This window comes from Homo sapiens, chromosome 9 (genome assembly GCF_000001405.40).
Source record: "Homo sapiens chromosome 9, GRCh38.p14 Primary Assembly".
Taxonomy (NCBI): Eukaryota; Metazoa; Chordata; class Mammalia; order Primates; family Hominidae; genus Homo; species Homo sapiens.
The window spans coordinates 132,467,215-132,492,484 of record NC_000009.12 but is presented as its reverse complement, the minus strand read 5'-3'; the positions used below and the strand labels follow the sequence as shown (position 1 = coordinate 132,492,484).

At 49.6% G+C, this 25,270-nt stretch overlaps 1 protein-coding gene across 5 annotated transcripts in view, besides 3 other annotated features; it reads right to left on the bottom strand.

The window, feature by feature from the left end:
• Positions 1-25,270, bottom strand: part of CFAP77 (cilia and flagella associated protein 77) — a 163,109-nt gene that overhangs the window by 80,835 nt on the left and 57,004 nt on the right. The window contains exon 2 of one of the 5 annotated variants that reach the window (NM_207417.3): positions 10,068-10,175. The exons of the other annotated variants lie outside the window; for them this stretch is intronic. Within the exon in view, the coding sequence (NP_997300.1) occupies positions 10,068-10,175 (108 nt within the window). The remainder of the gene's footprint in view (positions 1-10,067; positions 10,176-25,270) is intronic. 5 annotated transcript variants of the gene reach the window in all.
• Positions 5,164-5,253: a silencer, noted in NCBI's record as "silent region_20433". NCBI's record gives its function as "represses an Ori minimal core promoter by ATAC-STARR-seq in GM12878 lymphoblastoid cells {active_cell/tissue: GM12878}" and the evidence as "EXISTENCE:reporter gene assay evidence [ECO:0000049][PMID:35858748]".
• Positions 5,264-5,513: a silencer, noted in NCBI's record as "silent region_20432". NCBI's record gives its function as "represses an Ori minimal core promoter by ATAC-STARR-seq in GM12878 lymphoblastoid cells {active_cell/tissue: GM12878}" and the evidence as "EXISTENCE:reporter gene assay evidence [ECO:0000049][PMID:35858748]".
• Positions 10,904-11,405: an enhancer, noted in NCBI's record as "H3K4me1 hESC enhancer chr9:135356467-135356968 (GRCh37/hg19 assembly coordinates)". NCBI's record gives its function as "activates a minimal SCP1, AML or CMV promoter by ChIP-STARR-seq in naive H9 embryonic stem cells {active_cell/tissue: H9 hESC(naive)}" and the evidence as "EXISTENCE:reporter gene assay evidence [ECO:0000049][PMID:30033119]".

The following is a 25,270-nucleotide window of genomic DNA, read 5'->3' as shown; positions in this document are numbered from 1 at the left end:
GTATTTTCATGTGCACAGACCTCATCTCTGCAGGTGGGGTTTGGCTCATATGGAACAGGTGAGCCTTGACTTCCTGGCCTTCTCCGCCCCACACAACGGTGCACAGCACAGAGCCTTATACACAGGAGAAGCCCAGGTAAAGTCTGCTGTTTTTGTTGTTGTTGTTTTGTTTTTTGTTTTGGGGGGGGTTCTTTTTTGAGACAGGGTCTTGCTCCATTGCCTAGGCTGGAGTGCAGGGGCACGATCACAGCTTGCTACAGCCTCGACATTCCAGGCTCAAGTGATCCTCCCACCTCAGCCTCCAGAGTGTCTAGAACTACAGGCCCGCATCACCACTCCCAGATAATGTTTAAATTATTTGTAGAGATGGGGTCTCACTATGTTGCCCAGGCAAGTCTCAAACTCCTGGCCTCAAGCAATCCTCCCGCCTTGGCCTCCCAAAGTGCTGAGATTATGGGAATGAGCCACTGTGCCTGGCAAAAGTCTACTGTTCAATATATAGACTGAGATTTATGGGAAGAGCTATCACTTCAGAAAACATAACAGTAAGTCCTCACTCAACATCATCAATATGTTTTTGGAAATTGCAACTTTAAGCAAAACAACATATAAGAAAACCAATTTTCCCATAAGCTAATAGATAACAAGAATTCAGTTCCTACGGCACAGTCTGGTCACAAAAACATCACCAAACTTCTCAATAAACACCAAAATAATTCTAATATTAAATATTGATGTAAATGTGAGTTATCCATACATTTCAGAAAGATTAATAAAAACAAATAAGATCATTATTTACCCAATTTGGGGGGAATCCATGAGTGACAGCAGTCAGAGTGGTAATGGGTTAAATCAAGGAATAAATGTTTGCAAAGCCAAAATTGCCAAGAGCCCCTCCTACGACTGTGCAGGTAAAAACAAACATCATCAATCCGAAGGGCTTGCTGAGCACTTTTCTACACTTTGTCCACAGTCGTGCGTTTGTATAATGATCACACAAGGAACTTTACAGATTTTGAGATGGAGTTTCGCTCTTGTTGCCCAGGCTGGAGTGCAATGGCACAATCTCGGCTCACTGCAACCTCCACCTCCCGGGTTCAAGCAATTCTCTTGCCTCAGCCTCCTGAGTAGCTGGGAATACAGGCGTGCACCACCACACCCAGCTAATTTTGTATTTTTGGTAGAGATGGGGTTTTTCCATGTTGCTCAGGCTGGTTTGGAACTCCTGACCTCAAGTGATCTGCCCGCTTCGGCCTCCCAAAATGCTGGGATTACAGGAGTGGGCCACCATGCCCGGCCACAGATTTTTATTTTTAATACTTTGTACTCATTCGTTCATTCATTTTTCCAATCCACTTATTTCAGTTCAGAGTTGTGAGTGGCGGGAACCTGTCCCAGCAGCTCAGGGCACCAGGCAGGCACCGACCCTGGACAGGTTAGCACCAACACACACCCTCGCAGGGCGCACCCACACACACACCCATGCTCACTCACACTGGGACCATTAGACACACCAGTTCACCTAATGTGCACATCTCTGGGATGTGGAAGGAAACCAGAGTGCCTGGAGAAAAACCCACACAGACACGGGGAGAACACGCAGACGCCATGCAGACAGTGGCCCCGGCCGGACATTGATTTCTTTTCTCATCAACATTATAACAATGTTGAACAAAATGACGGAGGAGCTGCTGTTCAGGACTAAAGTGACTGGGACCCAGGACAGCTGTCTTGACTGCGTTGGGGGAAGGGTAATCAGGAAAAGAAAGACACATACAGATCTTGAATTGGCATTTTGGGAAGAACTGATCTGAAGAAGGTTCCAGGAGTAGCCAGGGAGGGTAAGAGGGCCAAGGGGACTTAGAGCAGGGAGCGGCCTGGAGCCAGAGGTGGGAGTGCCCAGCGCTGACCCTTGGCCTCCCTCCCCAGCTTGTCCAGTGGGGCCTTCTAGAAGCCTACAGAGAAAAGCTGCCTGACAGAGGGGTGGCGGGTCTCTGGGCACCTCAGAGGGGCTGTGTGAAGCCTGTTAAGAACCTACAGGGAGAGGCACTCAAACGAGCTCCTGACCCCGAACTTTCAGACACAGGCAAGCAGGTTGTGACAGACATCTGAGTTCAGCTGCCATCAAAACACAGGGGCCACCTGAGGCTTGACGGTCACCTGCTTTTCCATGGTGCTATGGTCTGAATGTTTTTATCGCCTCCAAAGTCATGCTGAAACTTAATCCCAATGCAACAGTATTCAGGGGTGTGGCCTTTAGGGGGTGGTTGAGTCATGAGGGCTCTGCACTCATGGGGGAATAGGTGCCCTTATAAAAGGCCTTGATGGAGGGAGTTCGCCCTTTTTATCCCCTTCTGTCCGTCTGTCATGCGAGGATACGGCATTCGTCCCCACCCTGGGGGATACAGCACCAAGGCACCATCTTGGAAGCAAAGACTAGGCTCTCACCAGACACAGAAACCACCGGCGCATTGATCTGGAACTCCCAGCCCCTAGAACGCTGAGAAACAAATTTCTATTCTTTCTATATTGCCCCATCTCAGGTATTCTGTTACAGCAGCAAAAACACACTAGGACGTTTGGTAACCTCACTCTGACATCCGTGAAACTGACGAGACTCGGTCCCAAATCTCAGCTCTGATCAGCCACCCGGTGCCCCATCAGCCTGCCCCACCAGCCCAGGCCAGGATGAGAGGTGGCCAGTTGCAGAGACAAAAGGGGTATCCTAGACAGGTCGCAAACTGGAATGTGCAAAGGTCCTGGGACAGCTGGCGTGGCCTGGCTATTGGGCCATGTGGAGGCTGAGATCACCCTCCCTGCACAGGGATCCCTTAGAACCACCATGCAGCAAAGAAAGAAACAAGGAACAGGATCAACATTTGTGTTGCACCTCCTCCGTGCAGGGCACACAGGATGTCCTGTGCCCTCTTTATTGAGCGCCTACTATGTGCTGAGCATGTGCTGAGAGTGTTTTTGCTTCTCCCTGAACTCTGCCAACTTCACTGTCAAGTAGCTTAAAGAGGTTCACACTTGTCCAACACCACCCAGGTAGTCAATAGAAAAGCTGGGGTTAAACTCACCTCTCCTGGACATCACACCTCTGAGCTTAACTCCCAGCCACGCCCCAATACTCACAACAACTCTGCAAGGGAGGCCATGGTATCCCCACTGAACTAGCAAGGAGTCGAGGCTCAAAAAGAGAAGAGACCCCTTTCAGCCCTCAAAATCCTTGCGCTTCTCATTTCTTATGTCTGAATTTTTAGGACATCTCATGCAAAATCCACAAGGTCTTTTAAGAGGCACTCCTTAGTGTTGCACATCAGGGAATTCTGAAGTGTTGGAGGCTATTTTAATGTGGCCCACTAGCTGGAATCCCTTGTCAATGAGGTGTTGGAATTAAGAGGCAAACGGAGAAAAATCCCAGCTCCGAGTCTGACCACCCCTCCCTCCTCAGCTGCCTTCAAACCGCCTTTTTCCGAGTTTCCTCCATCACAAAGTGGCTTGGCTGGAATACAGCTCTGGGTGACAGCTGTCCCCATCAGCAGACAGCTTCATTAAACCTCATTAAGATGTCATCCCTCTCTGCCTTATTTCCCATCTCTCAGCTCTAATTAAAACCATCTCTCTCCCCGTCCCAGGGGGTCCTGGGATTCTCCGGGCTCCTCCTGCAATATCAGCTTCCTCCACTCCCCATCATGAAGGGCCAGGCCCTGGAAACCCATGCTGGGAACCAAGCCGGGCTGGCAGCCCCAGCGCCCGGAAGCCCCCTGGGAGCAGCCTGTCGCCATGAGAACTACTGGGGCTAGCTAGAGGCAGGTGCAGGTAGCATTTCCCACAGGCTGTTGCTTTGATCCGAAGCTACCTGGGACCCAGGAACGAAGGTCTCTAGACCTGGAGCTTCACCAAAGCCCATTTACATGGCACAACTTCTTCAAAACGAGTGACCCGCCTTGCAACTCAAGTCTAATCATTTCCCACCCAATCTACTTTTTTTTCCCCTTAACTAGCCCTCATTTCTTATTGCAAAACAGCTGTACCTCTTAAAAGACCTTGTGGATTTTGCACGAGATATCTTAAAAATCCAGACATAAGAAATGAGAAGTGAAGAGGTGAAAAGTGGGGAAGCCAGCTGGCTTTGTTGCTGAGATAGCCTTGAACTGGATCTTATTCCAGACAAACGGGCCAGTGGTCACTTCCAAAGTGGCAGGTTTTCTGTCAGGGAGCTCGATGCCTGAGTGTCAGACCCACCAAAGACGTTCATTCCATCACGAGCTAGCCCCTCAAAGGAATCAATCACTCCCCACTTCCTGGCAACCACATATAGTGTAGCTCATTAACCCTCCAGCCCTGCGTCTAAACTAATGTTTGTTTGACAGTTGAAAAGCCTCCACTCACTCTCCTGCATTTTGTTAAAGCGCAGTTATATGAAATCCTGTTGCCTGGTAGTGATTAAATAAATATCTGTATATAGCTAGACCCATGCATACATAGGCACACACATACCATTTTGCTCATGGGGGGGTAGTTCATTATTGTAAAACAACTTAAGATCCTCGAATGAAAAGCACAATATAAATGCAAATTGTGATCATTATTAGCATAGAGGATATTTATTTATTTCCATAATGAGAACCTCAGATAAACAATCATGTAAAATAAGGTGCATTATGCATCAAAGGGCTCAGGCATCCTCTTAGAAGCCCAATGCTTTGAACCCTGTGCATTGTGTGAGTGTCAGTTGAACACTGCATAATGATACGAAAAAGCCACGCATGAGAAGACCACATCCATGTGTGATCAAAGGCGTATAAAGTAATGTCAAGTGAAAAAAAAAAAAAAAACCACAGCCGGATTCAAAATTCTACATGGACTACTGTTACAACCACGTTAAAAAAAAAATGCATTGAAAAAGATACTGGAAGGAAACCCAGCCCCATAACTGTGATGTGTGAGGATGTGTGGTTATAGATGGGGGCCCTTTTTTCGATATTGAGGTTTTACTTTTATAATTTAAAAAGCCACACAATAGAGTTAAGTTATATGTTTCTATTTTATCTATGAAAAAGTCTCTTCTGTGTCATTGCAACTCTGCTCTGGTTTATCATGGGGACTAAGATGACGGCTGGTGGCTGGGGGGCGAGGGGTCATGGAGGAGAATTGGGTAGCTGGCATACTAATTCACTCAGAGCTGAGTCGGACTCCCAGCTCTGCCACTTCCCGTGTGACCTTGGGTAAGTCCCTCACCTCATCTGGTCTCTTTCCTCCCCTGCAAAACCTCCCGACGCTGTATGTAGAGTGTTTCATGGTACCTGGCCCAGGAGGTTGCTCAGTAACCGATGGCTTCTATTACTGCTGTCTTATTGTTAAGACTGCTATAGCAGCTCCCAGCTCGGGTCCAAAGGGAGCCGCGGACCGTGGGGAGCCCCTCCAGGCGTCCTCAGGCCTGCCCCGCCACCCAGTCCAGCCCTGTCTGGTTCCCACGGCCCGGGGCTGCCTGCGCTCTGCCGCCTGCCTGGTCCCCGCTCCCCGGGGCAGCCCGGCCTCCCTTCCGGCTGCCTGCTCTGTTCTGGCGGCTGATGTATGGCCCTTGCCGTGTGAGGCGGTCACGGTGACAGGGCCCCACCGTTCCCTCCCCTCCCCCTCGACAGCTTGAAATCAGGTCCTTCATTTGCATTTACATGATCTCGCTGTGCAGCTTATGAGATCGAGAGATTTATTTGCTACTTAGCTTGATGTTTGATTACACTCGGAGAAGGCAGCGAGCAGCGAGGTGCGGGGATGCATCCGCTCGGAGTCCCCGGCCTCTGGGGGCCGGTAACTCAACAGCATGTTTAGGGGAATGAGGGGGAAACGCGCAGCGTTTTGACAAAAGGCGAACGTGAGAGGTTGGAAGGAACTAATACCTTGATTGGATATATTTTTTTAAAGAGCAATAAAAACTAGCTAGGTATCATCTGAGATTACGAACAGAGCCAGGTCACTCGCAGGAAGCAGCTCATCGTCTTGGGGAAGGAACTCCCAGAAACTTTTCCTCCCGGGCAAAATCTGAAGTCCCTAAAAGCGATGATGCCTCTGATTAAGAGGAGGTGTGTGGGCCGGGCGCGGTGGCTCACGCCTGTAATCCCAGCACTTTGGGAGGCCGAGGCGGGCGGATCACGAGGTCTGGAGATCGAGACCATCCTGGCCAACACGGTGAAACGCCATCTCTATTAAAAATACAAAAAATTAGCCGGGCGGGGTGGCGGGTGCCTATAGTCCCAGCTACTCGGGAGGCTGAGGCAGGAGAACGGCACGAACCCGGGAGGCCAAGGTTGCAGTGAGCCGAGATTGCGCCACCGCACTCCAGCCTGGGCGACAGAACAAGACTCCGTCTCAAAAAAAAAAAAAAAAAAAATATATATATATATATATATATATACACACACACACATACATATACATACATATATATATATATATATATATATATATATATATATATATATATATATATATATATGAGGTGTGTGTTCTCAAATCCCAGCACCTGGACTGACACCAGCTCAGTGAATGACACTTGTATGCTCGTCACCTGTTTACGAAAACTACCTGGGCCCCGATTCCTTGTCTGTAAAATGGGAAAATAATACCCCCTCTTCGGTCTGTGGTCAGATGACCTCTGCACTTTGGTGGACATGGAGTAAGTGCCCAATAAATGGGAACTGTTATGGGGACAATAGGCTGTTTTCTGAAGGAACGGAGGGATGAAGCTCACCGCCGCGATGGAGTGCAATCACTTGGCGTCGTACTTTGCAGTCAAGTGTCACTTGTCTGTTTGGTGGGTTATCCACTGTGTGGGGTTTCATTCCAGCCACCTGCCGGCCAGCTCCCGCTGCTCACAGCTGGGGCGTGCTCAAGGAAGGCAAACTCATTTTCATAACAGTCTGAGCCTGGCATAATTAGGAGCAGAGATCCGCCGCTGCCAGCCTCTACCCTGTCACATGGCAATCCAAACAGAAACCATTTGGCGCATGATTGGGACGTGACAGTTTTGTGATTAAGAACATGAGCTTGGGGGCCAAGCCACCCGAGCTGGAACTCTGGCTTCTCAACTCTGCGTGACCTTGGGCAAGTTATAATGCTTAACCTCCGAGTCTCAGTTTTCTTACCTAGAAAATAGGTATCATGAGAGCCTCCAGCTCGGAGGGTGGCAGAGCATTTCACAATGTAGGCAAAGTTGTCAGCAGAGGGCCTGGAAGCTTCTTAATAAAAAGTAGTCATACCAGCTACTGGCCACTGTTAGACTCTGCTATTTTGAATTATCAGCAGCTCCGTCTCCATTTGTATGAATAGAGAACTAGTTATACAATGAACACATCTGCTTGATGGTTCCTCAAAAAGTTAAAGATGAGGGCCAGGTGCCGTGGCTCTCAGTTCGAGACTAGCCCGGCCAAAATGGTGAAACCCTGTCTCTACTAAAAATAAAAAAATTAGCTGGGCTTGCTGGCGCATGCCTGTAGTCCCAGCTACAGGGGAGGTTGAGGCGGGAGAATCGCTTGAACCCAGGAGGCAGAGGTTGCAGTGACCCAAAAGCATGCCACTGCACTCCAGCCTGGGTGACAGAGCAAGACTCCATCTAAAAAAAAAAAAAAAGAAAGAAAGTTAAAGATGAAATTACCCTATATGACCCAGCAATGCCACTTGTAGTGATATACCAAAGGAATTGAAAACAGGTGTTCATATTTATAGCTACTATGTACCCACAAAAATTTAAAAAAAAAAAGAAAACAGGCATTCAAACACATGTACCTGCGTGTTCATAGCAGCGTTATTCACAATAGCCAACAGACAGAAACCACACCACGTCCTGATGAATGAATAAGCCAAGCCTGGCACATCCGCACAATGGAATATTATTCAGCCGTAACCGGGAATGAAGCACTGATCCATGTTACAATGTGGATGGATCCTGAAAGCATTATGCTAAGGAAAAGAATCCAGACAGGCACAAAAGGCCACATGTATGAACCCATTTAAAATGTCCAAATAGGTCAATCTGAAGAGACAGAAAGCAGATTGGTGGTTGCCTGCAGCTGGAGGGAGACTGCTCATGGGTACAGAGCTTCCTTTTGGGGTGATGAAATGTCTTGGAATTAGAGAGGGGTGATGGTTGTATGACATTGCGAATATAGTCAATGCCACTGAACTGCACATTTAAAAATGGCTGATGGTTGATTTTATGTGAATCTCATATAAAAAGAAAAATTAGGCCAGGTGCAGTGGCTCACACCTGTAATCCCAACACTTTGGGAGGCTGAGGCGGGCAGATCACTTGAGATCAGGAGTTTGAGACCAGCCTGGCCAACATGGAGAATCCCTGTCTCTATTAAAATACAAAAAAATTAGCCGGGTGTGGTGGTGGAAACTTGTAATTCCAGCTACTCAGGAGGCTGAGGCAGGAGAATCTCTTGAACCTAGGAGGTGGAGGTTTCAGTGAGCCGAGATTGCACCACTGCACTCCAGCCTGAGCAACAGAGTGAGAATGTGTCTCAAAAAAAAAAAAAAAAAAGACAATACCTCCACAGGAAGGAGATGCCATGGTTCCTGTCGAGCAACTGAGGAAACTCTTTCTCCCTTAAGGATGGGAGGACAGGAGAGGAAAGACGTGCAGACAAAGTGACTGCTGCTCACAGCAGGACACGTGCTTTGAAAACGTGGCTCAGTCTTGAGGAGACTGTGCTCTCTTCTGAGACTGTGCTGAGGTGGGCATGGGGTGGGGAGTGGGCCCTGGGCTGGGAAGGATAGTGAAGGCCGTTTCCATCTGAGTCTCGCTGTTCTGACAGTATGGTGGGAGCTGGGGAAGCATGTCTGAAACCATGAAACTGGATGCATCCCATTTCACAGTGTGGCCCCCTTTGCTTGCCATGGCCTCACTGTTGAAAGGCTGTGGTGGGGGAAGGAGGAGCGCTCTGGACTGTGAGTCTGGAGACCCAGGTGTCAGTTCGCGTCAGCCTCGTCTGCACCGAGGACACGGGAGAAGATGGGTGGCTGCTGCAGGTCCCCCACAACCCCTCGTGGGTCAGAGGAGCTCAGGGGCTCGACGCTCCTTGTCCTGAGCCAGCTGGGTGGCCACTCTAATATATGCTTTATGTATGGGGGTCTCCAAGTCAGGCCTCTTTGGAAGGGTGAGTTTTTGTTGTTGTTGTTGTTTTGTTTTGTTTGTTTTTTTGTTTTAAGACAGAGTTTTGCTCTTGTTGCCCAGGATGGAGTGCAATGGTGCGATCTTGGCTCACTGCAACCTCTGCCTCCTGGGTTCAAGCGATTGTCCTGCCTCAGCCTCCTGAGTAGCTGGGATTACAGGCACGCACCACCACGCCCGGCTAATTTCCTATTTTTAGTAGAGAGTGTGTTTCTCCATGTTGGTCAGACTGGTCTCGAACTCCTGACCTCAGGTGATCTGCCTGCCTCAGCCTCTCAAAGTGCTGGGATTACAGGCATGAGCCCCCTCACATAGCCTGGAAGGGTGCGTTCTTTTTTTTTTTTTTAAATTATTATTATACTTTAAGTTTTAGGGTACATGTGCACAATGTGCAGGTTAGTTACATATGTATACATGTGCCATGCTGGTGTACTGCACCCATTAACTCGTCATTTAGCCTTAGGTATATCTCCTAATGCTATCCCTCCCCCCTCCCCCCACCCCACAACAGTCCCCAGAGTGTGATGTTCCCCTTCCTGTGTCCATGTGTTCTTAAGAAAAAAAAAATGAGAATCCAACTAGGCTGCCTTGGCAGCCCTTGCCAGCGCCCACTCGATGTCAACAGGCAGGATTGGAACCGGACTCTGATCCTTCTTTGCTGTGTGACTTTGAGCAAGTTACTTGGCCTCTCGGAGTCTCAGTTTCCCATCACTCATTAAACAGGGAATAACCGTCCCCACCCCATGGCGTAATGACAACATTTAGACGAGACCATGGAGGTGAAGCGCCACGGGTGCCCAGCACGCAGTAGGTGTGCGGAAGCCGGGAGGGGCCCCTCTTTTCCCCTTTTTCTCCAGGGTGACATTATTTTAGCAGAAGGAAGAAACACCTGTGGGCCTCCTTTGATGTGGTGTCCAGCAAGGGAAGGAATAACTTTCTGCACCGCTGAGGAGTCATAAACAGAATAAGAGGTTCCCACCGAGGCCGGGCCGGCAGCCTACGAAAGAAATGCAGAGTCCACTTGATCATTTGGTCAGTTTAGCTGTCAAGGGTCACAGCCAGCAGACCCTGAGTGAGCAGATTTAAGAAAAAGGCTCCCTATGAAAAGAAAAAAAAAAAGAAAGAAAGAAAGAGAGAAAAGGAAAAAGCAGAGAATGATCTATGTACTTTTCAAAACTTAAAACAGAAATCAAAGGAAAACTGAACTGTTTTAAGTTTTGACAGCTGCAGGGATCATTCTGTTTGGTTACTCTATTTATGTTTTCATTTTCTTTATAGATTCATTGAAAATCGCATCATGTAATAGGGAAGAAAAATGTTCAGTGTTCCGCCGCCCCCCCCCCCCCCAACCATAAACCCTTGTTCCTTCCTGAGAACAGATGAAAACGCCCGCTCCAGTGACTTTTGTTTTGATGTATATTTCATAATATCTTATTGATTGTAAGTTTTATTTCCATGTCAATAAAAAGTGGTATTGTAATAAATGAGAAGGAGTTTAACACAAAATGGCAGCTGACCTGTTAGCATAGCAGATAGCTGAGGCGGAGGAGGCGTCCCTAAAACGAAGCCTGTTAATAAGGCTGGGGTCGGCTGGGAGAGGAAGCGGCGGCTCTTCATTTCAGCACAAAGCTGGGAGGCTGGAGGACAGGGTCCTCCCACCCCCTCCTCTTCGCAGCCTCTGGGGTTGCTTTATGATTGGTTCTGGGTTGACATTTCCTAGGGCAGATGATGCAGAGGCCTCAGCAGCAATGCTTCTCCTCCTCTAGCAGGAGCGGGGCAGCAGCCACCGACGGGGTGCAAGCCACTGTGCTCGGTACCTTGAGCACACAAAGATGGATGAAATCTTGCTGGGGAGGGAGGAGTGTAAGGAGTGAGTTCGAGGATTAGGCGGCTAGTCAAAGGGAAAAGAAATAGGAATACACAAGCTTTAGTGGGCAGGACTTGGATGGGGTTTCAGGAGAGGGGAAGTCCCCAAGGAGGGATGTCTGTGAGACTGTCCAGAGGTGACAGTGAGGGGCCACCATCCAGGAAGGAGGAGGGTGAGGCCGCTCTGGGGGAGACAGGGCTGAAGCGTCTAGCAGCGCGGCAGGGAGTCTTGGGCCCAGAGAGCTCCCAAGGGCAGCAGTAGCTTGGGGTCTTACAGTCCCCAGGCTCTGTCGTATCCATGGCCGGCAGACACGAGTGTGGCTTTGTGGGTGTGCAAAGCAGGTGGGCTCTAAATGGCTAAAATTCTGCTTGTTGGAGATATTTTAAAGCAACTGGATGTGTAAGATTTTGTTTGGTGCTAGTGTGCTTTCGAGCTAACAGATCTCAGCCTGCTGTGAAGAAATAAGCAACCCAAGGTGGATACACGGGGACTGTCTGTGGCTTGTTTTGATAACAGGGGCCCCCGGACCACAATGGGGGCACCTCTGCTCCTAGCCTTGGCCTCATCTTATGCCCTCTCGCTCACCGTCCGCTTTCTGCCCTGGGCCTTCTTTCGGCTCCTGGAACTTTCAGGCCCCTTCCTGCATGAAGTCTGTGCTCAGGCTGACACATCCCTCTCCTCACCGGCGCCTGGCCCCGCTAACTCCTAGCTGAAATGTCACCACCTTGGAGAAGCCCCCGGACTCTGTAGCCTCCGTGAGAAACCCCAGCCACAGGATGTCACCTATTTTCCTTCCTGGACCCACGTCTTTGAGATGAATGGATCATTCAAATGGTGGTTTCTGCCACGTCTCACTCTGCGGCAGGTCAGCTGGGTGAGCACGGGACAGACCTGTCTCATTTGCTGTGGCGTCTCCGGTGCCCGGCACACAGTAGGTCTTCAGCACATGCTCTGGGATGCTCACGTGACTGAGCACCAAGGGGTGGGGCACACAGGCACTACTATGGAAGCTTACTCCTCCCAGGCCTGGGCCATCTGGGGCAGGTCTTCCAGAACAGGGTCTGGAATCTGTTCTCAAATTCCCTAGGGAGTTGAGCTATGAGGGCAAAAAGTGGGAAAGCCCTTTCCTGCCCTGCTGTTGACCCCACAGGGTTGGAGTCTCTGGACCCAGAGCAGGGTGGGTGGGCAGGGGAGCTGAGCAGTTTCCCACCTCATGACTAGCAGGTGGGCAGGGACCAGGAGCAAGAGGGAGTCTGGTGGCTCCTGGGGAGGGCGGTCCAGGAGAGCAGCCGAGGAGGCCCCCTCTCCTCTTCTCTGGCCTCAGTGGTCCCATCTGCAAAATGAGGGGGCTGAGCCGGTTGATTTTCAGGGTCCCCCCCACCAGCTCTGCCATTTCCTATCTGGAGCGCGTCTCCATCCGTGTCATCCAGAGCCGCATCATCTGCTTCTCCTGCTCAGGGAGGCAGAGGCGCACAGTGGAGAGCTCAGAGCCAGCCTCACCTGGGTTCCACTGCCACTCTCCTGCTTGATAGCCGCGTCACTTTGGCCAAGGACCTCACCCTTGAGCCTGTCTCTGGACACCACCCAATTCATAGGCTTGGTGTCAGATGAGAATATTCACTGCCTCTCACGTAGTAGGCCATTCTAAATATCTGCAGTAGGAAAATGTGGCCACTATTATTAGAGGGAGTTGATGCTACGTGTCCAAACTCCATCAGCAACATCTGTCCCTGGTGGCCAGCTCGGCCCACCTGCCCACACGCTTTCAACCAGGATGGCCTGAGCAAAGCCAACGGGGCCATCCTTGGAGGGAACTCAGGCCATGGCTCTGCAGCACATCCCTCCAGCCACTCGGAGGAGCATCACTGGTGGGAGGTGATTGGATCAGCAGGTTCAATGCGCTGCAGCAGGTTGGATGAATGAAGAGTATTTCAAGAACGCCACAAGGAGGACCTTGGCTCAACCAAACCAGGCCCAGCCCCCCAAGGCCCTCCCCCATGCACCCACCCAGCTGTGTCTGTATCTGAAACTGAAAACTGGAAACTCTGTGGTTCTGTGGTTGGGAGGATGGGATGCACGATGGTAGGATGAACAATGGTGGGATGAACTATGGGGGAAAAGGTCTGAGCTCCCTGAGGGTACCCAGGGCAAAAGATGGCTGAGCACTGTGAGCTGGGCATGAGGGGTTGTGCTGTAAATGCTTTAATGGGTGGCTTCTTAGATGCCATGGGGTTGCATCACTAAGGTAAAGATTCTGAGTATGTGGCATAATTGCTACATGCGAAAATCTATTTGTACTTAGCTTTTAGTCTTGAAAATTACCAAGCCCTGTGCTGCTCCTACAATTAATCATTAAAGAATTAGGAGTGAGAATACCCATTATTGTAAAAGACTCCAGCGATGGTCTTGATCCAACTTATAAAATAGACAGATTTGGTGCAACTGAATAATTTTCCTCCTCTCTGCACAAAATCAGGAATGCTAGTCATATTCAATGGCTGGAGTGAATGCTTACAAACTGGTTTATAGACCAGCCTATAATTACCAAAATAGAAAAAGAACAGCATTCTGTAATGAATGACAAGCTGCAGAGCGGAAATCTAATTTGGTCTAATTAAGCAGCCTTTTGTGAGGATTTGTCTTTAGATGAAAAGAGGGAGCCAAGGAGATCTAAATGCAAATGAACTCCATCATTTTGGTTTTAAAGGGCTAGGCTGAGATGAGCATCTCCGGCCCCAGCCCTCTCCTCTTCATTAGATTCTGAGTCCCCTCCTCGTCACCTCCAGCCCACGCCGGGCCCCATCTGCCTTGGAGAAGCCTCGCGTTTTTTGTCCCTGGCCTCTTATATCTTTTCAAATAGGACACCTCACGCCGACAGGGCTGTCAGGGAGCTTTTGCTTACTTGGGAGCAAATTTTATTTTGCCCAAAGTAATAAAAGCCAAGGGGGAGGCTGATTATTAGAGGAACTTGCTCCTGTTCTCGGCGAGTACAGCCTCTGAAGTCTGGAGGGTTGAATGCACACCCGGAGCCACTGGCACTGACAGAACAAATGGGGGGAACCAGTGCCGCGTCTTCACCTGTGAGCCTCGTGCAGGGTAAGCAGAGGCTGAGGCTTGGCTGCCATTCAGGACTCCCCAACACCACCCTCAGCTTCAGGAATTTGCCAGAAGGACCCACAGAACTCAGAAAAGCCACTGTACTCACGGTTATGGTTTATGATAGTAAAAAGCTACAGGCTAAAATCAGCAAAGGGAAGAGGCGCATGGGGCAGAAACCACCCCCCATGATCGAGTCACCTCCCACCAGGCCCCATCTTCAACATGTGGGGATTACAATTCCACATGAGATTTGGGTGGGGACACAGAGCCAAACCATATCACCTGGTTAGGTTGGGTAGACGAGAAGGAAAAAAAAATTCCACCACACTGACTCCTTAATCTCCTGTCTTAGTTTTCAAAGAAATTGCAAACATTTGGACTTTCTCATCTTCTAAACAAAAGCAAGTAGAATGACTGAGAGAGCAGGCAGCTGTGGCAGGGCCCCGCTGCCCCCAGATTGGTTGTCTCAGTGGCTCCTCCCTCGTGAATGCTGGTCCAGACTCAGAGGGTCTGGACTCCTAGGCTGCCCGTCTGAGCCTACGGCCTCCCACATCTCCATCAGAGTTTGGCCCAGTTCCCTACTCACCCCCTAGACACCTGCCTTGGCATTCAGATGCTCAAGAAAGGGAGCCAGGAGGCAGCACTGGAACCCAATGCAGGGCAAGAGAAGGCAAGAGCATCCTGTGGGGAGAAATGGAAGAGGCCCCCAGCCTGGAGTGCAGACAGCTCATGTGTGCTGAGCAATTACTATGTGCCCAATGCCTTGCCCAAGGCTAGGCGCTTGACCCCTGCTGACCCCTGACCCTTCCTGACCCGACCTCCCACTGGGAACTGCACCCCTGCCTGGCTTTGTGTTTCTTTGTAGCACCAATCAACAACTCGCTATGTATTCTACTGATGAATTTGGGTCATCATCTTTCTCTTCTCCCTAAAACAAGCTCTGTGGGATGGGGTTTGGTGGCTGGTTTGCTCACTGCGCTGTCTCCAGGGCCTGTAGTTCTTGGCACGTAGTAGGTGCTCAATGCATCTTTGCTGAATGAATGAACAGAAGGCTCGTCGTTATGACCTGTGAAGCAGGTCTACTCTTGTGCCGGGTTTACAGATTAGTCAGAGAGGTGACATGTGCCCAGGGTCACCTTGCTAATCGCCAGAGGCAGAGCTCAGTAATCAACTAGGTGTCCCTCATCCTGGCCCCACTGTTGGTGCCTCCCAGGCTTCTGAGCATCCTGGCACACAGAGAAACCAGTCAGCCTGGCACGAGACACACAGGCAGATGTACGAGGCTGCTTGCAGCTCCGGCAGCCCCAAGACCAGAGGAGGTTGGCGTCACAGCACCAGCGGCTGGGAAGACCTGATCATGCATTCCTGGCCCCAAACCATCGCCTCTGTATCCGTTTCTTGTGGCTGCTGCAGCAAATCGCCACCACCTTGGTGGCTGAAGGCAGCAGAAATCTCACCGCTCCGGAAGCCAGAAGTCTGAAATGAAGGTGTTAGCAGCAGTGGTTCCTTCTGGGGCTCCGAGGGGGGACTCATTCCAGGCCTCTCTCCCGGCTGCTGGTGGTTGCTGGCAGTCTGCGGTGCTCCTTGGCTTGTGGCTGTATCACTCCAATCTCTGCCTCTGTTTCCACATGGCCTTCTCCCCTGTGTGTCTCTGTGCCTCAAATCTCCCTCCCCTTTCTCTTGTCAGAACACCAGTCATTGGGTTTAGGGCCCACCCTACATCCAGTATGGTATCATCTTGAGAGCCTTAACTTGATCACCTCTGCAAAGACCCTATTTCCAAGTAAGGTCACAGCACTCATTACCCAGCACCTCGTGGGAACCATCCCAGTACCAAGCACTGCATCTAGATGAGCTACACCCATCTGCTCAGACAGACACCACCTGTGTGCCCCTATTACAGCTTGTGGGGAGATGGAAGATCAGAGCTTGAAGACAGACATAAGCAAAGTTCTGGGGACCCAGAGACTGAAGACAGCTCACCATCCAGCCCCACAAGAGGAGGGTGGGTCACTAGGGGAAGGTTTCTCAGAGCATGCGGTATGGGACACAGTGAGTAAGGGTTGAGTTAGACTTTTCTGATAGTCAATCTTGAGGGTGTTCCTGGAAGCAACCAACCCCAGGACCAAGCAGAGGATAGACACTTACAGAACAGCTGGGCATAGAGGAACGCCACAAGGGAAGTCTTACAGGCCACGAGAACTCTGAGAAGCAAGCTCATCTGCCTGCCAGGCTCGGGCCAGACCTCCCAGAAGAGGTGGCATTCGAGAAAGACTTGGAATGCTGAATGCAGAGCTATGGTGCAGGATTTCACAGAGCAGGCCAAGATGGCAGAAAAGCCTGGACAGAAATGCAGGCAGCGGCAAATGATCCAGCAGACCAGACGGAAGGTGAGTCATGGGGCCAGGCTGTGCCAGGCTATCTTCTTTGAGAGGTAATAGGGAGCCAGGGATGGTTGTGGTTCCATGGCCATGGTAGGATCAGTACTGCAGTTTGGGAAAGCTGGACTACTACCAGTGCGCACAGGATGGGGTAGAGGAGAAAGCAGAGGGTGGGGGTACCCAGGAGTCTGGTTCTGCACTCCAGGTGGAGGTGACAAGAGTCTGAACTAGGAGAGCAATGCTCAGGCCTCTGTGGCAAATGCAAGATGCTTGAGCTCTTCAGACCCAAATATCTTCAAAGCTGATTGGATGTAGGGAAAGCTGCCAGCCCAATTTCATGTGGCTTCTTTGTTCTTCCTGCTCCTAACCGAGACACTTCTCCCTGCCTAACTCCTGTGGATTTACCCCTTGACTGAGGCATTCAAGACTGGCAAAAACGAAGGCAATTCAGAGACGATTATCGGCTCAGTCCCAAAGTGGGCTCTGCATCCCCTCAGCAGGGAGACTGTGGCCTGGAACCAGCCTGGGTTCTGTAACGCTCCCAACTGCAGACCAGCCTTAGCGAAGGGGCCTAGTGGTAGATGCAGCCATAGAAAGCAAGAATTCAACATCTGCTCAGGCCCAGTGTCTATTTCCCAAGATGCATGATACCCAGGCTGGGCTCTTCCAGATACCTGGGGAATCCAACTGCCCTTTTCAGAATATCAGAAAACTCTCATTTTAAAGGTTAGGGAATAAACTGCAAAGGAGGGCCTCACATTTGCTGGAAAGTTTAAAATGCAGTTTCTTCTCGCTGGAAGACCTCAGGCTCGGTTAATGCAGCCAGCAGATAATGAAAGTCTCCTTGTCCTAAATCATCTCTATTGGAACAACAAAACAGTTAAAAGTTTTTGTCTGAAATGATGCATTTTCCTTCATGTTAAACAACCTCAGAAGGACTGAGCCTCTTTCTCTTCCACACCCCAGAATTCCCACAAGAAATCAAATATAATCCTCTTTAAGAAGCTTTAAATAATTTTGAGCTTTCTTATTGACTTATTAAAATGCAGCTTAAAACACGCCTTCAATGCAATCCTTTTACAAGGGTCAGGGATATAAAATTTGAAGAAATATGATTAGTAGATCAGTTGGAAAGACATAAGCCGTCGGATCCAATTTTGACTATTTCAGAGAAAACTTCCTCCAGGCATTTCTGATACCCCCCAAACAACCTGCCCTGAGTCACGCGCACCATTTTGCCTGCCTTCTTCTCAACCTTTGGCCCTGTGTGCCTGTTGGTCAATAACTTGGTAATTCCCTAATCATTCTCTACCGCCGCCACCCGAACTGAGTGGCCCTGCCACCAACCCCCAGCAGCTCCATCTGTGCATTCCCCCCCTGGTCCTAAGGGCTGAACTTTCTTAGAAACCCCTTTGTTGCAAGCTTCAAAGGTCTTGGAACATTCCAACGGTGGCCTTTGATCCCTGCATACTTGAGCAATGTGAACTAGCCGCATCCCTGCGCCCCACCAGCCCCCACATTTATCCCATTTCACTTGAGTCACGCTCCTTCCTGGGATGAAGGGATCCGGAGTCGCAGTTTTATAATTACGTGTTTGGGTGAACGAGTGAGTGAGTGAATAAATGAATGATGTCCCGAGGCGTTCGTAAGTGTATGACTGTCCAACAGAAAGCCAAACAGAACAGAGGCTTGGAAAACCACACTCTTCCAGAGCAAGGCACCCACCAGACCACATGTATTCTCTACTCAAAGCAAAAAGATACAGATTGGAAAATGCACAATGAGCTTTGTTTTTAATCAAGCAAGATTTTTTCTAGATGCAAACCCTTACAAGAGACAACCCAAAATCTATAAAACAGTTTTTGACACATGCAGGGCACCCCAGCTACATCTCTAGGGCCGGCAAATAGACTCGGGTTCGTGAGGAGAGGACGCAATGTGATCAGTGGGAAGTCTGTGTTCAGAAAGCCAAGATCAGCCCAGGCGCGGTGGCTCACGCCTGTAACCCCAGCACTTTGGGAGGCCGAGGCAGGTGGATCACCTGAAGTCAGGAGTTTGAGACCAGCCTGGCCAACATGGTGAAACTCTGTCTCTACTAAAAATACAAAATTAGCCGGGCGTGGTGGTGCACGCCTGTAATCCCAGCTACTTGGGAGGCTGAGGCAGGAGAATCATTTGAACCTGGGAGGTAGAGGTTGTAGTGAGCTGAGATCGCACCATTGCGCTCCAGCCTGGGTGACAAGAGTGAAACTCTGTCTCAAAAAAAAATAGAACTCCAAGGTCAGCGACAGCTCTGGTTGAGACTAGGAGCTGCCCTTCGCCTGCACTGGGGAAGGCTCCAGGGACACAACTAGGGATCATCTGGCTTTCACGCGTCTGGTTTGGCCTGGAACCACCCTCTCCACAGACAGGAAGGTATCCTGATGAGTATACAGTCTGGAAGGGAATCCGTGTCCGGACTTGAGAACTACAACTTGCCTGGGTTGAAATCCAAGCTCTGTTACTCATCAGGACGATCTGGATCAAGTTACATCACTGTTCTTTGCCTCAGTCTCCCCAGCTGTAAAATAGGGAGGCCAAATAGTAACTGCCTCTGAGGGTGTGTCTGGCGCTTAGATGAGGGAATGCCTGGCACCCATACCACAGTGCCCACTTTGCGGGTTGCTATAGTTTGGATGGTTGCTCCCCCAAGCCTCGTGTTGAAAGTTGATCCTGAATGACGTTGGAGGTGTTTGGGTGGGAGGCAGATCCCTCGTGAACAGATTAATGCGTCCCTTAGGGGTGAACGAGTTCTCACTCTGTTAGTTTCTTGGAAGCTGTTTGTTAAAAAGAGCCTGGAACCTCCCTCCCCCAACCCCTGACTCCCTCTCACAGAGGGGTCCCTGCACACCCCGGCTCCCCTTTGCTTCCCGCTGTGAGTGGAAGCAGCCTGAGGTTCTCACCAGAAGCTGAGCAGATGCCGGTGCCATGCGTCTTGTACAGCCTGCAGAGCCAAATAAACCTCTTTTCTTTATCAGTCACTCTGTGCCTCAGGTGTTAACTTACAGCAACACAAAACGGACTAAGACATGGCCCTAACTGGAAAAAGAAGCAATTTCATACGGTTCAATACAAATGCTTTCCCAGAGCCGGGCACACAGCAAACACTGAGTTAATCCGAGCCATTGTTTTTTGTTTGTTTGTTTTAGAGACAGGCTAGAGTGCAGCCTTTGTCACCCAGGCTGGAGTGCAGTGGTGCAGTCATGGATCACTGCAGCCTCGATCTCCTCGGCTCAAGTGATCTTCCCGCCACAGCCTCCTGCATAGCTGGGACTACAGGCACCACTATGGCTGCACCACGCCCAGCTAATTTTTAAATTTTGTTTGTAGAAATGCGGGTCTCACTATGCTGCCCAGGCTGGTTTTGAAATCCTGGCCTCAATCCATCCTCCCACCTCGGCCTCTCAAAGCATTGGGATTACAGGCGTGAGCCAATGCACCTGGCCAACGATGGTGGTTATGTTTGTGTTCACACCTGCCTACATCATGAGCACACTTATCACTGTGCTATGCCTAAGTAGACTGTGGAAACAGTCATGTGATTAGCCACAATGCAGCTAATTATAGAATGGCTTTTGCATTCTACAATAAAGAGTCTTGAAAATTACTTCCTAAATGACTGGTCCATCTCTTCACAAAGACCTCCCTGAGTGCCAGTACTCAACACATATTTGACAGATGATATCCAGTGTCAGATGTGTGCCAGAGACTGTGCCCAGTGCTGGGAATATTGAAGTGAGAGACACAATTCCTGATCCCTAAAACTTGATGTTTTCTGAGTAACAGAAAGGAGAAAACATGTGGTGGTGGGATGGAATCATGGGGGCGGCGGGGGGATCTGCAAAGGTCTGCACAGGTGCTGGGCTGCCAGCTAGTCTGCCAGATTTAGCAAATAAAAATGCCCAGTGAAGCCAGGTGCAGTGGCTCACACCTGTAATCCAAGCACTTTGGGAGCCCAAGGCAGGCAGATTGAGTCCAGGAGTTTGGGCCTAGCCTGGGCAACATGGTGAAATCCTGTGTCTACAAAAATAATAATAATAATACAAAAATTAACCAGGCGTGGTAGCAGGCACATGCCTATAGTCCTATCTATTCCAGAGGCTGAGGTGGGAGGATAGCTTGAGCCCAGGGGTTCGAGGCTGCATTGAGTCATGATGGCACCAATGCACTCCAGCTTGGGCAACAGAGTGAGACCCTGTCTCAACAAACAAAACAAAACAAAACAAAACAAAAACAACCCCCCTCTCTCACAATGCTCCTGCATAGAAAAATCCTGTAATAGCTGGGTTAGCTGTAACCTGGGGCTGGCCAAGTCTCTCCTATCACCAACCTACCTGATTATGTTTATAGCACAACATAAAAAGATCCCAAAGTGAAAGAAACGTGAAACTCTGAGAAGTGGCTTTGGAAGTCTGTGCAGGACCTGAGGGGGTGGCCATTCACTTGATGTGTGTGTGTGGGCAACGGTGGGGGGGGGTCCTTAAAGGAATAGGAAGAAGTGGATGGACCCCAGTTCTCTCCCACCAGAGAGTTGTGGGCAGGCAGGGTGCCCCAAGATGACTCTGAGGCTCTGGGGCTCCTGCAACGGAGTTCTGGGGAGCTGGGTTCATAGCTACCTTCTCCAGATTATTCTACGGGACCTTCTCAACTTCTGCCTCTCATTCAGCATCACTTCCCAGTGGGCTTTGGGTCACAGCTTCCAGGGCTGAATCCTCTGAGGTCTGTGGTTCTCCCAACTGATTACATTGCTCTAACTGCTTCTCTGAACCTCTGGATCATATGCCTTGCATGTGAGGCCAACTCACCCATCAGGCAGTGGGACACAGTGCCCTGGGCCCACCGTCCTTATAGGGGCCCACACAAGTGTTTTAATTTATTTTCCAAGCATAAGGAAAAAAAATAAACATATCCATTTATAAAATATCATTTAAAAAAAATTTTTTGAAACAGAGTCTCACTCTGTCGCTCAGGCTGGAGTGCAGTGGCCCGATCTTGGCTCACTGCAACCTCCACCTCCTGGATTCAAGTGATTCTAGTGCCTTAGCCTCCTGAGTAGGCTAATTTTTGTACTTTTAGTTGAGATGGGGTTTCACCATGTTGGCCAGGCTGGTCTGGAACTCCTGGCCTCAAGTGATCCACCCACCTTGGCATCCCAAAGTGCTGGGATTACAGGCGTAAGCCACCGTGCCCGGCCACATTAAATAATCTTTTAAACGGGCGCACAAAGGCAGACATGCCCAGAGCCTGCGATGGCTCTACTGTGGGCCTGCTGCTGTGTCCATCACACATCAGCAAATATTCCAAGCATTGGACGCACTTGGGAAACAGCCCAAATTTCTTTCTCAAAAAAAGAATAACCATCCAGATTTCAGGACCCTACTGCCCAGGGGGCACCACACATGCCAGCAGAGAGAACACTGGGATGCGAGGCCAACTGGACTCCACCTCTTCCCAGCACTGTCACCACCACCTCGGTAGCCACTTAGGGCTGAGGACTCAGGATCCACAATGACTGTCACCTGGGTCCTCATCCTGCCTCCATCACTTACCAGCTGGAGGCCTCTACTAAGGCGCAACCTGCTGAGCCTCAGCTCCCTCATCTGTAAAATGGGGATAACCAGGGCACTTCCCTCCTAGCATTGCTGTAATGACTCAGCGAGACACTGATTGGGAGGCACGTGGACTTGGCGCATAAGTGTTCACCCAATGACTGTTGCGACTGTCATTGCTGCACACGGAGATGGCTTCGAAAAGACCACTCTTTAAAAGATCATGGAGCAAAGGCCAGGTGTGGTGGCTCACGCCTGTAATCCCAGCACTTTGGGAGGCTGAGGTGGGCAGATCACTTGAGGTCAGGAGTTCAAGACCAGCCTGACCAACATGGAGAAACCCCGTCTCTACTAAAAACACAAAATTAGCCGGGTGTGGTGGCACATGCCTGTTATCCCAGCTACTTGGGAGGTTGAGGCAGGAGAATCGCTTGAACCCACGAGGCGGAGGTTGTGGTGAGCCGTGATCACACCATTGCACTCCAGCCTGGGCAACAAGAGCAAAACTCCATCTCAAAAAAAAAAAAAAAAAATCACGGAGCAACTGGCAGAGTCTGAATAAGGCCTGCAGATGGACTGTTGTCCATTTCCCGGTTTCGCTATTTCTTAGATGTTTAAGATGTCACCGCCGGGGTGGAGCACTGGGGTCAGGGTAAGTGAGACCTCTCTGTGAGTCTGTAATTATTTCAAAATTAAAAGTTTTTTTTTAAAAAGGTGGGCAAATGAAATACTTTTTTTGAAAGAGAATGCTGAAGCCCATAAGTGATGCATGGACTTTGCAGATAACTCCCCTTTTCTGGGAAGCACGGATGTGCCTCTATGTCCCCTCGCCTCCTCCCTCTGCCCCTGTTCAGCTGCCGTGGTATTTTCCTTCATTATGCCAGCGCCTCAGAAGTAAACCTCTCTAATTTTCTACACCACAGCTATTTATTTAAATGCTAACTCGCATTATGAAGTGATAATCCACACGCACAGGAGATAATTTATGAAGCATTTAAATTAAGAGGAGCAGCTAATTGGGAGCATGTGTCTTATAAGCCTTGCTAACACCAGAAAACTACAAATTAGGGGGGAAATGGAAGGTATTTTTATCATGCCTTTATCTGCTTTTGTAAGGCGCTTGGGGGAAAATATCTCTGTGATTGCATGAGCTGGTCCTCCAGCCCTTCTCATGGCTGGGTCTCCGCCCCTGGTACTCCGGCTTCTCACAGAGAGCTCGTTCTACCCTGGCAAGTGCTGGGTCCCCCCACCCCCACCCCTTTTGCTAACAAGGGAGCATGCCTTTTTTGTTTCTTCTTAGAGAGCTCCTTGGCTCCATTATAAAGATGGAAGTGGCCAAGATGAGTGAATTCATACCTACTGGAGAAAGAGAAGAGACTTTCTTCTCTTTCTTCAGGTCTCTTTCCCCAGATCATTTTCCAGGTCTGGGGGCTGGAAAATGTTCTTTTAATAGGACACATGTTATAGTTATTTTGATTCTTCCCATTTGAAAAGGGCTGTCCTGGTTTGTATACATAGGCTGAGAGTTAAACTTGACCACATGGGTGCCGTGTGTGCGTGCGTGTGTGTGTGTGTGTGTGCGTGTGTGTGTGCTTATTCTTTCAAAAGATACCAACCGAGCACCTACAATGTGAAAGGTCCTGGGATATAACAGTGAGCAAAAGAGACATCATAGTCCTTCACGATGCTTACATCCCATCTGGAAAGACAGACATCACAGGACGAAGCATTGAATTACCCCTGTGACAATTGTTAGAAAATGCAGGGCAAGGGCTGTGGCCTGCTCTTGAGTGGTCAGGGAAGGCTTCCTGGAGGGAGGGACATTTGAGTTGAGAACTAAATGGAGAGTAAGGAAGTGCTGGGTGAGTACGAGGTGGGCCCAGGGCAGGGGCTGGCAGGTGGGGCATGGGAGGTTCCCTATTCCAGAGAAAGCATCCTGGAATGAGGCTGGAGTGGAAAGTGCTGGAGTGGAAAAGGGAGGACTGTGGCCTGTTTGAAGGGTTCTAATCTGTGGTTTTTTGTTTTTTGAGACGGAGTCTCACTCTGTTGCCCAGGCTGGAGGCAGTGGCGCAACCTCGGCTCGCTGCAGCCTCGGCCTCCTGGGCTCAAGCAATCCTCCCCCCTCAGCCTCCTGAGTAGCTAGGACTACTGGTGCGCACCACCAGGCCCTGCTAATTTTTTTGTATTTTTTAGTAGATACGGGGTTTCGCCATGTTGACCAGGCTGGTCTCGAACTCCTGACCTCAAGTGACCCACCCGCCTCGGCCTCCCAAAGTGCTGAGATTACAGGTGTGAGCCACCACACCCGGCCCTAATCTACAGTTCTAAGGCAAGGGGCCTTTGAAGGGTTGGATGCAGGAGGGGGAGTGAGCTCATCAGATCCACATCTGCTTGTGTGCCCCTTATCTCAGGACACTTCATGAACAGAGCTTTGACAAGGATGTTCCCCCCATCTCACACCTGTTAAGATGGTGACTACTAAAAAAAAGAAAAAAACCAAACCCAGAAAATAACAAGTGCTGGCAAGGATATGGAGACATTGGAACCCTTGTGCACCATTGGTGGGAAGGCCAAAGGATACAGCTGCTGTGGAAAACAGAATGGTGGTTCCCCAAAAAATTAAATATAGAATTACCGTGTGATTCTACCATTCCACTTTTGGGTAGATACCCAAAAGAAGTGACAGCAGAAACTCAGAGAGATATGTTCATCCTCATGTTCATGGCAGAATAATTCACAATAGCCAAAAGGTGGAAACAACCCAAGTGTCCATCGATGGAAGAATGAACAAACAACATATAGTCCCTCCATACAAGGGAATATTACTCAGCCTTAAAAAGGAAGGAAATTCTGACACATGCTACAATGTGGATGGACCTTCACGGCAGTGTGCTAAGTGAAAGAAGCCAGTCACAAAAGGACAAAGTATGATTCCACTTATATGAAGTACCTAAAACAGTCAAATTAGCAGAGACAGAAAGGAGAATGGTGATTGCCAGGAGCTGAGGGGAGGAGGGGGATGATGGGGAGATGTTGTTTAATGGGGACAGGGTTTCAGTTTTCCAAGATGAAAAGAGTTTTAGAGATCCATTACACAAACGATGTGAAGGTACTTAACACTGTGGAACGGCACACCCTAAAATAGTTAAGATGGTAA